Source organism: Homo sapiens, chromosome 3, assembly GCF_000001405.40.
Source record: "Homo sapiens chromosome 3, GRCh38.p14 Primary Assembly".
Lineage (NCBI taxonomy): Eukaryota > Metazoa > Chordata > Mammalia > Primates > Hominidae > Homo > Homo sapiens.
Window position 1 is genome coordinate 186,778,248 of NC_000003.12, and position 11,650 is coordinate 186,789,897.

An 11,650-nucleotide genomic window follows, 5' to 3' on the forward strand; every position below is an offset into this window, starting at 1 on the left:
GCGGGCGGATCACCTGAGGTTGGGAGTTCGAGACCAGTCTGACCAACATGGAGAAACCCCGTCTGTACTAAAAATACAAAATTAGCCGGGCGTGGTGGTGGATGCCTGTAATCCCACTACTCGGGAGGCTGAGGCAGGAGAATCGCTTGAACCCGGGAGGCAGAGACTGCAGTGAGCCGAGATTGCACCACTGCACTCCAGCTTGGGCAACGAGAGCGAAACTCTGTCTCAAAAAGAAAACAAACAAACATGAAAGATGAGTTGGTTGTGTCACATGAAGAGGGTAGTATAGAGCCCCAGGTAATGGGGCACAGGAGTGGGATTCCAGATACCAGGCCCACATTTCTGGGGTGAGATTGCCAATCATGGTCTTTCTTCCATCCTTCACAGAGGTGTAGGTTTGTCCTGAAGACAAACCTGATCCTGGAGACTTCATGTAATCTCGAAGAGATGTGCAAACTGATGAAAAACAGTGATTTTTTTTTTTTGAGACAGTCTTGCTCTGTCACCCAGGCTGGAGTGTGGTGGCGCAATCTTGGCTCATTGCAACCTCCACCTCCTGAGTTCAAGCAATTCTCCTGCCTCAACCTTCCGAGTACCTGGGATTACAGGCGCCCACCACCATGCCTGGCTAATTTTTTGTATTTTTAGTAGAGAAAGGGTTTCACCACGTTGGCCAGGCTGGTGTCAAACTCCCGACCTCAGGTGATCCACTGGCCTTGGCCTTCCAAAGTGCTGGGGTTACAGCTGTGGGTCACCATGCCTGGCCAAAATAGTGAATCTTTGAGGTAAAATAAAGATGTCGCCCAGGCTGGAGTGCCATGATCATGCCAGTGCACCCTCTGCCTCCCAGATTCAAGTGATTCTCCTGCTTTCCTGCCTCAGCCTCCCCTGTAGCTGGGACCACAGGTGTGCGCCACCATGCCCAGCTAATTTTTGTATTTTTGATAGAGATGGGGTTTCACCGTGTTGGCCTGGCTTGTCTCAAACTACTGATCTCAAGTGATCCGCCCACCTCAGCCTCCCAGAGTGCTGGGATAATAGGCATGAGCCACTGCTCCCAGCCTTAATTTTTCAAAATCAGAAGCCGGCTCCACCTCAGTTCAGATCCAGTGAATCTGGGTGAGAGGGCAGAGTCCACAAGTATCTGCATTTCAAATAGATGTTCCCATTGATTTTTATGCATACCACAGTTTCTGATCACCTGATCTGAAGTACAGCAATGTACTTGTATTTTAGTCTTCCTCTATAAAGGTAGAAAAACTTCTGTATCTTGGCTACACAAAAGAGTTTAATAACCTTGGATCAGCGGATTCAAAACTAGTTCTTAGCTAGTTTAAAAGTCCTTCCGTGGTCCTCCTCAGTTTTCTCCATTTTCTTCAACTCTGTTAATATCTTTACCTATCTTGATGCAAATTATTATCATTATTATTTTGAGACATAATCTTTCTCCATCGCCTAGGTTGGAGTGCAGTGGCGGGATCTCAGCTCACTGCAACCTCCGCCTCCCGAATTCAAGCAATTCTCCTGCCTGAGTAGCTGGGATTACAGGTGTGCGCCAACACAACCGGCTAATTTTTGTATTTTATCCCCACCGAGACGGAGTCTTGCTCTGTCGCCCGGGCTAGAGTGCAGTGGCGTGATCTTGGCTCACTGCAACCTCCGCCTCCCAGGTTCAAGCAATTCTCCTGCCTCAGCCTCCTGAGTAGCTGGGATTACAGGAGCACACTACCACATCAGACTGATTTTTGTATTTTTAGTAGAAAGGGAGTTTCACCAGGTTGGCCAGACTGGTCACGAACTCCTGACCTCAAGTGACCCGCCCGCCTCGGCCTCCCAAAGTGTTGGGATTAGGCATGAGCCACCATGCCTAGCCTAATTTTTTTATTTTTAGTAGAGACTGGATTTCTCCGTGTTCGCCAGGCTGGTCTGGAACTCCTAATCTCAATTGTTCGGCTTGCCTCAGCCTCCCAAAGTGCTGGGATCACAGGCGTGAGCCACCATGCCCAACCACAAATGTTTTTTAAGTTATAGTGTAAGAACATGGCAGTAAGTTCAACCCTCCAAATTGCGTCAGGGGTCACAGGCAAGCAGAACCTAGCCTCTAATTTCCTCAGAAACTGTGTAATAAAAAGAGGTTACAGAGATTATCCTGGGTTTGCCAAAAAAGAAAAAAAGGAAAAGAAAAAGAAAAAGAGGTGAGTAGCACCACCATCTCTATCCAGCTCTGGGCAGTGTTTTTTTTTTGTTTTTTTGTTTTTTTTTAAGGTGGAGTCTTACTCTGTCATCCAGGCTGGAATGCAGTGGCGCGATCTCTGTTCACTGCAATCTCCACCTCCCGGGTTCAAGTGATTCTCATGCCTCAGCCTCCTGAGTAGCTGGGACTACAGGTACATGCCACCACACCCAGCTAATTTTTTATATTTTTAGTAGAGATGGGCTTTCACCATGTTAGCAAGGATGGTCTCAATCTGCTGACCTCGTGATCCACCTGGCTTAGCTTCCCAAAGTGCTGGGATTACAGGCGTGAGCCGCCGGGCCTGGCCCAGTTATTTTTAAACACTGAAATTACAGATGTAAGGACAGCATGTACTATATACTTTGTGCTTTATACTTTATTATTACTAAATAACAACATTAATACGTAATAATTAGATCCAAAACACATACCTTAACAAATGTCTATATATCAATAGATTATCTAGACACCGCTTTAAATGTGCAGCTATCACTTAAAATCAACTGATGGGTTCAAAATAATGTAAGAATCTCAAGATGGCATACAAATGCGCCCTGAATGATGAGAGTACATGGTACTTTTTATAGGAAGATGTCACTATCAACACAAAGCATATTTTTTATTATTTATTTATTTTTAGACAGAGTCTTGCTCTGTCACCCAGGCTGGAGTGCAATCTCCGCCTCCCGTGTTCAAGCGATTCTCCTGCCTCAGCCTCCGGAGTAGCTGGGACTACAGGCGCACACCACCACACCCAGCTAATTTTTGTACTTTTAGTAGAGACAGGGTTTCGTCATGTTGGCCAGGATGGTCTTGATCTCCTGACCTCGTGATCTGCCCATCTTGGCATCCCAAAGTGCTGCGATTACAGGCATGAGCCACCGCGCCCGTCTGAAAGCATATTCTTTTAAGGTTTTGTTATTGTTTTTCCATGTAGCACTGACAGATTTGTACTAATTCTTTGCTTCTCTGGTTGCTAGATAGCTTTAGAATTGTCAGCTGAGGCTCTTGAAGAGCAAAACTAAACTACCTTAGTTGGCTTAGATAGGGAAATAATCTGACTTTTAGGATTATTTGCAGTATAAATGATTTCAAACACTAAAGGTTGACAAAGAAGCATTTATAGTTCACTGAGAAGGCTATCTTATTTCAGATTCCAGGTAAGCAGAATCACTTAAATTTAAAAGAGCACGCTCTGTGTTGATATGCAAAACTTTGTTAAAGTATACGTTTTGATCTTTAATTCATTTATTAGTTACAAATGTTATTTACTATTTAGTAAGCACACGCAAATGTGGTAATCACTGCATTTATTAGGAATACACTGTAAGGTTACAGGCAGTGTGGGTGTGGATTTTGACTGTATTTGAAGTTTTCTTACCTTGAAACTTACTTAGCACTTGTAAACCTATACCATAGAGTTTAGCCTTTATTTCCTCTTAAGAGACTTGAAAATCCTACACCATCTAGTGTAGTGCTAATCCTAAAGAAAACAACCAACGATTAAGTGTTAATTGTTGATTGGTATCACCCTATGATCAATTGTTTTCACCCTAAGGCTCAAGTGAAACCAAACGGTTGGTCACTTTTTCGATTTAGTATTTTTTCAATTTCTTAGATCTCAGGATATTTTTAGTAGATTTTGGATGAGACAACAAGGATGTCTGACGACCATCATTCTCAGAAAATATCTGGCATCACCTCAAATCTGGATTTCGAACATTACAGAGGGATGAATGAGGAGCAGTACCACTGGACTGAGGGCCTGGCCCACTTTGCCATCTTGGTATTCTTAATCTTTGTCCTAGTTCCTGGCACGATAAGAATTTTCAAATAAATAAATAATTTTTGTATTAAAAAAGTAGTATTTAGAACCGAATATCTTCTATAATATAGAAAATTGAGTCAGCTTTCCCAGTAATGATTCTTTAAGTTGGCCTTCTGAAATATGAGAAAATGTTACCCTGATAGTCTCGATGATATTTTGCACCATGGGTAGGGTTGTATTTTAAAGTTAAATGACTACATATATTGTTTTTTGTTTTTGTCGAGAGACCTGAGATGGGGCTAATTGAAAACGTCTGGAGCTTAAAGACCCGTGCAGTTTACGCAGCAAGGATATTATTGCTCTGAATTTCAATAAATCAACATTTCACTATATATCGGCAAAGTCTACAGCCTTTAAAAAATGACCAATATAGACGGAATCAAAACCGATGTAGTCCCAAAGCGGCACAGAGCTGTATCTGCCAAAGCGTCCATTTAAATTCGTGCGTTCCAAGGAAAATTACTGCTTAGTTTCTATCCATTTGCAAAAGTTTATGATTTTTTTCAGGCATTCCTCACACCTGTTAGGTTAAAATCAGTAACACTCTTAAAAAGAAAGCGAGAGACCGGAAATGATATGAGAATAGAATTGGCCACTCCAGAGACATCTGCAAATGACACTCCATTTTTCCTTCTCGCGCTGCAAAATGTACCGGTAAACCGGACTTCCCGGGACTCGCTGGGTGGCCGACATTTTCCCTAGCAGGAATTTTACGTTTCCAAGATCTGAATGGATGTTAACGGTCGGGCTAAATGCCAGGCAGGTCTTCATTGTGGAATTAAACAGCGGTGGGAGCAAGCGGAATAACCGAGTTCCCCTCCCGCACCTGAGTGCCGGCAGCGAGCCGCGAGCCGGGACCTGTCACCCGCGGGAAGCCCCGGCCGCCCGACGAACAGCATCTCCGGTTTCCGCCTCCGGCTCCGGCGCGGCTCCCCCGGCCCGCCTCTGCGTCAGGGACGCGGAAACCCCGTAGGAGCAGGGCGGGCGGGGAAAGCGAGGTTTAACTAACTCCGCAGCTATATTCTTCCGCCGCGAGGTAAAGAGTCCCAACCCAACCCCGGGCCCTAGGATTTCCAGCGACCCTGTAATATCGAGAAATTACCACATTTGGGTTTTTCTACCAACTTGCTTAGGATTTTATCCGAGGTAACGACCCCAGGATCACAATTTTGTAGCTGACCGAAGCACGGCGAGAAAATTCCTCCGCAAGAAACGGGTTCCGGCCACGAGCCTATAAAAAACGGGTGGTTGGGCGCCGCTGTCTTTTCAGTCGGGCGCTGAGTGGTTTTTCGGATCATGTCTGGTGGCTCCGCGGATTATAACAGGTATGCAGTCTGTTGGCGGTCGCGGTCTGTAGTGAAGGTCATAGGGCGCCAGGGGAGATGATAGTGGATGGCACGGAGGCAAAAACTCTAAATTAATGGACGTTTTCTTAGGGTACAGCACTCCTGTGCCCTTCCAGAAGCTTCCATGATGGGTAGGGCCCGGATTGTGGGGAGATAGGACGGTGGTGCGAAAGCAGTGGCTAAAGGGCGTTTTTCCTCTCTAAGACATTACGAAACTTCGGCTGCTTTCCTTCCCAGTGTAGAGCACGGGAAACATGGAGTAAAAAGCCGTGGCGCAGTCCGAGTTCGGTACACTGTAACCAGGACCCGAAGCTTTATTTTCGGTCATCCACACGAGTTGGGGGAGGGTCCTAGGCTTTACTTGGGGAAGGGTTGGAGGCAGCGGTCTCCACTCGGCCACGGCGCGGAGGCGACGGGACAGGACCGGTGCCGGTGAACCGTTGGCATCGCCCTCGCCAGGCCGCTCCGCCCGCGTCAATCACCCGGCTTGCGCATTGTTGGGGGCGGAGTTCGGCGCTCCGAGCTCTCGCGAGACGCTCCGCAGTTGAAACGGGATCGCCATGCGCTCGGGCCTGGGGGGCTGCCTTTCCGGGCATCCGCAGGCCCCAACCTTTAGGGAAGGCGCACAGTGTGGATATTCGCCCTGAGGCTGCTGCTTTAGCTTGTGCAGGGGAGGCTAACGTGCTGAGACGGGTTGCAAAGGGCTATGCGCTTAAGGTGCAGTTGAGGTGGCCTGGAAGGGGTGTCTGACTGCAGTATTCTTGTCAGCAGAGAACATGGCGGCCCAGAGGGAATGGACCCCGATGGTGTCATCGAGGTAAGAAACGGTTGTGGATCTTGAAGCTTTGGAAAGGTGAGTGTGTTCATCTCATTTATGCGTGCATTATTTTTTCTAACTTACAGAGCAACTGGAATGAGATTGTTGATAACTTTGATGATATGAATTTAAAGGAGTCTCTCCTTCGTGGCATCTATGCTTACGGTTTTGAGAAGCCTTCCGCTATTCAGCAGAGAGCTATTATTCCCTGTATTAAAGGTAAAAGAAACTGGCATTTTTAGGAAATTGTTCTACATAGACATGAACCATAAAAGGGAAAGTAACCTCTGGGGGACTAGCACCTGTTTGTATTCCTTAAAGTGAAATGATGGCAATCATCTTTCGGGACTGACCTGAAATGAAGAGAATACTCATTGCTGATCACTTGATTATTTGGGCATAATGTTCCAAATGGAATACATGGTGTGAAGTAGAAGTGACAATTTGATGTGGGATCGGTAAATGTGTATCCTACTTTTTTTAGGGTATGATGTGATTGCTCAAGCTCAGTCAGGTACTGGCAAGACAGCCACATTTGCTATTTCCATCCTGCAACAGTTGGAGATTGAGTTCAAGGAGACCCAAGCACTAGTATTGGCCCCCACCAGAGAACTGGCTCAACAGGTATTGATAGTGTAGTTCAAAAAAACTGCTTGCGTGTTGCATAGGTTTCAGGTTTCACAACTGTGAAGAATTTAAAACTTAGTATAAATTGGTCCTACCAGATCCCTCCTTTTAATTGTCCATGCATGCAGGGAGTTTTTGTTGAAAGTTTTAAAAGAACTGGGTATGCAGGTATGGTTTGTAGGGTTGTATACTAATAGATTGAGAATCCGAAGCGCTCTCTTGGATGTACTAGATCTGTCCCCATTTTTTAAGTTTGAATGCAGTTGTGCAACATGAAAACTGCAGTGACATGTTACCATTTGACTGTCTCCGTAGTTCGTGATGCATCTGTTGCATGCTATGTTTTCAAAGCTCACTGCTATATTGGCTTTGAAGTAAACCTTCCTAATAAAGCTGTAGGCTTTATTGAGGTCAGGATTATATAAGGCACAATACCCTCTGGGGGAAAAAAATCATTTGCCCTAGCTGTAATTACAGAACATAAATTTCACTACGTACTCCCTACCTACAGTGAAGAATAATGTAGGAAACGTTATTCTTGGATTGTCTAGCTGATGCGTGGAGCAGCAGCATCCCAAGTTTGACAAGGCATAAGAAAGACATTAAGGGAATTTTACCTTGCAGCAGTTAGGTCGTCTGCATTTTAAGCTTGGAAGTAGTTTTGTGCTGTGCATGCATAAAAGCTGTTGGCAGACCAGATTATATTTGCCTTTATGCTTTAAAAATTAGTCATTGATCCTGGAGTTCTGCGGAATAATAATTAAGGCTTGGGTTTTAGATCCAAAAGGTAATTCTGGCACTTGGAGACTATATGGGAGCCACTTGTCATGCCTGCATTGGTGGAACAAATGTTCGAAATGAAATGCAAAAACTGCAGGCTGAAGCACCACATATTGTTGTTGGTACACCCGGGAGAGTGTTTGATATGTTAAACAGAAGATACCTTTGTAAGTATTGTCTTTAAGAGAGTATTTTTTTTAAAACTGTTAACATAGTTGAAAAGTCAAATTGTATCACTGAGTAGATCTAGAAATGACAGTATGACTTTGTTTCTAACAGCTCCAAAATGGATCAAAATGTTTGTTTTGGATGAAGCAGATGAAATGTTGAGCCGTGGTTTTAAGGATCAAATCTATGAGATTTTCCAAAAACTAAACACAAGTATTCAGGTAAGCATTACTTCACCCCCCTCTTAAAGGTAGAGATGGGGTTTATTTAATGCAGGTACTGTTACAATACAACTGATGTGTTTTGTTGTCGTTCCCCCTGCTTAAAGCACTTGATGCATAACTCTGTCTACCTTCATTCCGTAGTAAGACAGAGACGCTTGGCTTCAGACATTTTCCTTTGGGTATTAATGTGTAAGTTGTGCTACAACATAATTTTCTCTTTTTAAGGTTGTGTTGCTTTCTGCCACAATGCCAACTGATGTGTTGGAAGTGACCAAAAAATTCATGAGAGATCCAATTCGAATTCTGGTGAAAAAGGAAGAATTGACCCTTGAAGGAATCAAACAGTTTTATATTAATGTTGAGAGAGAGGTAACTGTCTGATTGTTAGACATTATTTTACCTTCTTGTATAAGCACTGTGCTAAAATTGCAGACACTAGGACCATGTCTTGGTTTTTGCAATAATGCTAGCAGAGTACACACAAGAAGAAAAGTAACAGCACTAGATTGTAAAGACTGGGGTGGACCTCTTTCTTAATGTCCAATGTCCTTTGTCTTAAGATTTGGTGCAATATCTCATTAGACCTAACAGAATGAAGTTAATTTTTATAATTTCTACGTTTTGAGACTGGGTTATGAGACTGGCTAAGACTGGCCAATTTTGGTATTTTGGGTAGAGACAGTTTCACTTTCTTGAAACCCTGGTCTGGTTGGAACTCTGGGCTCTAAGTGCTAGGATCCCAAAGGGCTGGGATTACAGGCATTAGCACTGTGGCTGGCCCAGAATGAATTTTTAACTGAAGAGTTGGAAAAACTAAATGACTGTTAACTTTAACTTCTAAACATTACAGGAATGGAAGTTGGATACACTTTGTGACTTGTACGAGACACTGACCATTACACAGGCTGTTATTTTTCTCAATACGAGGCGCAAGGTGGACTGGCTGACTGAGAAGATGCATGCCAGAGACTTCACAGTTTCTGCTCTGGTAAGAGGTGTTCTAAAATGTCTGGATTTCCACTAAAGCAGGATTCAGACTACAATATAGCTGCTAAGTGCTGTGTTGTCGTTCCCCCTGCTTAAAATAAAGTTGTTTCTTAACTATACCTGTCTGCTATTCTCCTGTAGCAGCCAGGGACGCTTGGTCTCATACATGTTGATTAAAATTAAATACCGACCTGACTGGTGATTCTTGAATTAAGGTTTATTAATTTGCAGCATGGTGACATGGACCAGAAGGAGAGAGATGTTATCATGAGGGAATTCCGGTCAGGGTCAAGTCGTGTTCTGATCACTACTGACTTGTTGGTAAGTCTCTTAATGCTTTTTAAAAATCTACCAAAAGTTAGCTTTTTGGGGGGCAGGTTTTTAAGTAACCTTTGCCAACTTGGGCTATTTGGAAGAGTAAAAGACCACACTCCACAGTGGGCTATACCACTTAGTATAGTTCGCTACTATTTTGTGGCCTACATGACAGGTGTCAAGTTTTTTTGAATCAATTTTTAAAACATGCCATTGTGTTTCAGGCTCGCGGGATTGATGTGCAACAAGTGTCTTTGGTTATAAATTATGATCTACCTACCAATCGTGAAAACTATATTCACAGGTGAGAAGCCAGCATCTTGGCTGTATTGAAAAAAATTCATACGTTTTTCTACTGTGATTTGTATGAAAGGTAACATCAAATCAAGGAATAGATTCAGTAAAGTCAGTAGTGTTCAGTAAGATGATGTAATTAAATTTGTACTAGGGAAGGTTGATGAGAACAAAGTGGGAAAACTTGTAAACATTGCCCAGATTGTGGACATAGGGTTTTTTTCCACAATTGTTGGTCTTACCTTATGCTTGAGCTTTTAGTGATGTTCTTGTGTCCATGTGTTTTTCTTGGTGATTTTTTCTATAGTTGGGATTTTCTTGGTGTCGCCTGGTAGCAATTTGAGTGAACCCTGGTTTAGTTATAGTGGCTTTATCCCTAAATAAATTGAATTGTACTTTGTTATATGATGTAAAAAAAGACTTTTTAAAAAATACAGGAGTCGATAGCAGCAGTTGGTGACGAGATGGCACTCAGAAACGGCGTTGACGTAATTTAGGACGTGGAATCATAAGCGAAACAGCACACTGTTTGAATAAAGAGCGAGTCGGTATTTATATTTGTTTTTCTTTTGTCATGATTATTTGATTTTTAAGTTGCTCCAGCTAAGGCATTTTTTTGTATTAGTATTTCTATTAGGGAACCTTTCTTATTAGGTGGTTTGTATTGTCTGGTTTCTAACATGCAGGTAGCTGTTTGGCAGTTAAACACGTTTAGAGTAATTTGAGTTACAACGTGTGAAACTGAGCAAAAAAGCAGTGATAAGTTTGGGTTACCATACCAAATATTTGTTTTCCCACTGGAAAAAAGTAAGTTTTAGAAAATAGTTAACCTTTGCAGCATTTGTTTACAGTTTACAGTTCCAGAAGTGCGTCGAAATGGATTACATAACTGCTCTTTTATTCCTGGTGTTCACATCTGTCCCAGGCTGACACCTGCTCTTGGCTGGCCCACTTTGGTATGGGCTTTAATTTCACTACCCCAAACACGATACTGTCATCTGCTTTATAATAATGCTCAAGATGCCTGATAAAAATCTCATTTTGCAGCCAGACAAGCCTTGAATCCTTTTGGCACTAACTGCAAAGGAAGATTTTTTTCTCTAGATATGCATTAGCAGCTAGTGCTCCAGTTAGAAGCACGAACTATAACCTTGATAAGTAAACAGCAGCTGGTGGTTAACAAGTGGATCGTCATGTTCAGTAGTTTATACATTATGTGAGAAGTAACGTTCTGATTCTTTTTCTTACACAGAATTGGCAGAGGGGGTCGATTTGGGAGGAAAGGTGTGGCTATAAACTTTGTTACTGAAGAAGACAAGAGGATTCTTCGTGACATTGAGACTTTCTACAATACTACAGTGGAGGAGATGCCCATGAATGTGGCTGACCTTATTTAATTCCTGGGATGAGAGTTTTGGATGCAGTGCTCGCTGTTGCTGAATAGGCGATCACAACGTGCATTGTGCTTCTTTCTTTGGGAATATTTGAATCTTGTCTCAATGCTCATAACGGATCAGAAATACAGATTTTGATAGCAAAGCGACGTTAGTCGTGAGCTCTTGTGAGGAAAGTCATTGGCTTTATCCTCTTTAGAGTTAGACTGTTGGGGTGGGTATAAAAGATGGGGTCTGTAAAATCTTTCTTTCTTAGAAATTTATTTCCTAGTTCTGTAGAAATGGTTGTATTAGATGTTCTCTATCATTTAATAATATACTTGTGGACTAAAAGATATAAGTGCTGTATAAAATCAGCCAATTATGTTAAACTAGCATATCTGCCTTTATTGTGTTTGTCATTAGCCTGAGTAGAAAGGCCTTTAAAATTTTTTTAGAAAGCATTTGAATGCATTTTGTTTGGTATTGTATTTATTCAATAAAGTATTTAATTAGTGCTAAGTGTGAACTGGACCCTGTTGCTAAGCCCCAGCAAGCAATCCTAGGTAGGGTTTAATCCCCAGTAAAATTGCCATATTGCACATGTCTTAATGAAGTTTGAATGTTAAATAAATTGTATATTCACTTTAAA

General features: G+C 42.7%; 1 protein-coding gene and 6 non-coding genes across 7 annotated transcripts, besides 1 other annotated feature; all 7 read left to right on the forward strand.

Annotated features, from left to right (window-relative positions):
• The first annotated feature begins 5,329 nt into the window (after positions 1-5,329).
• On the forward strand, positions 5,330-11,650 carry EIF4A2 (eukaryotic translation initiation factor 4A2). Its single transcript, NM_001967.4, has 11 exons — positions 5,330-5,392; positions 6,185-6,230; positions 6,317-6,449; positions 6,715-6,854; positions 7,636-7,804; positions 7,917-8,026; positions 8,255-8,398; positions 8,880-9,017; positions 9,248-9,337; positions 9,556-9,635; positions 10,878-11,650. The coding sequence occupies exons 1-11, from the start codon at positions 5,364-5,366 to the stop codon at positions 11,020-11,022; spliced, it is 1,224 nt and encodes a 407-aa protein (NP_001958.2). The 5' UTR covers positions 5,330-5,363; the 3' UTR covers positions 11,023-11,650.
• Positions 6,006-6,235: an enhancer, noted in NCBI's record as "active region_20943". NCBI's record gives its function as "activates an Ori minimal core promoter by ATAC-STARR-seq in GM12878 lymphoblastoid cells {active_cell/tissue: GM12878}" and the evidence as "EXISTENCE:reporter gene assay evidence [ECO:0000049][PMID:35858748]".
• SNORD2 (small nucleolar RNA, C/D box 2) lies at positions 6,549-6,618 on the forward strand. The gene has a single exon (NR_002587.1). It is a non-coding gene; the product is annotated as a small nucleolar RNA, C/D box 2 (small nucleolar RNA).
• SNORA63B (small nucleolar RNA, H/ACA box 63B) lies at positions 8,076-8,200 on the forward strand. The gene has a single exon (NR_145766.1). It is a non-coding gene; the product is annotated as a small nucleolar RNA, H/ACA box 63B (small nucleolar RNA).
• Positions 8,425-8,530, forward strand: MIR1248 (microRNA 1248). Its single transcript, NR_031650.1, has one exon. It is a non-coding gene; the product is annotated as a microRNA 1248 (primary transcript).
• SNORA81 (small nucleolar RNA, H/ACA box 81) lies at positions 8,429-8,605 on the forward strand. Its single transcript, NR_002989.2, has one exon. It is a non-coding gene; the product is annotated as a small nucleolar RNA, H/ACA box 81 (small nucleolar RNA).
• Positions 9,052-9,186, forward strand: SNORA63 (small nucleolar RNA, H/ACA box 63). The gene has a single exon (NR_002586.1). It is a non-coding gene; the product is annotated as a small nucleolar RNA, H/ACA box 63 (small nucleolar RNA).
• Positions 9,366-9,502, forward strand: SNORA4 (small nucleolar RNA, H/ACA box 4). Its single transcript, NR_002588.1, has one exon. It is a non-coding gene; the product is annotated as a small nucleolar RNA, H/ACA box 4 (small nucleolar RNA).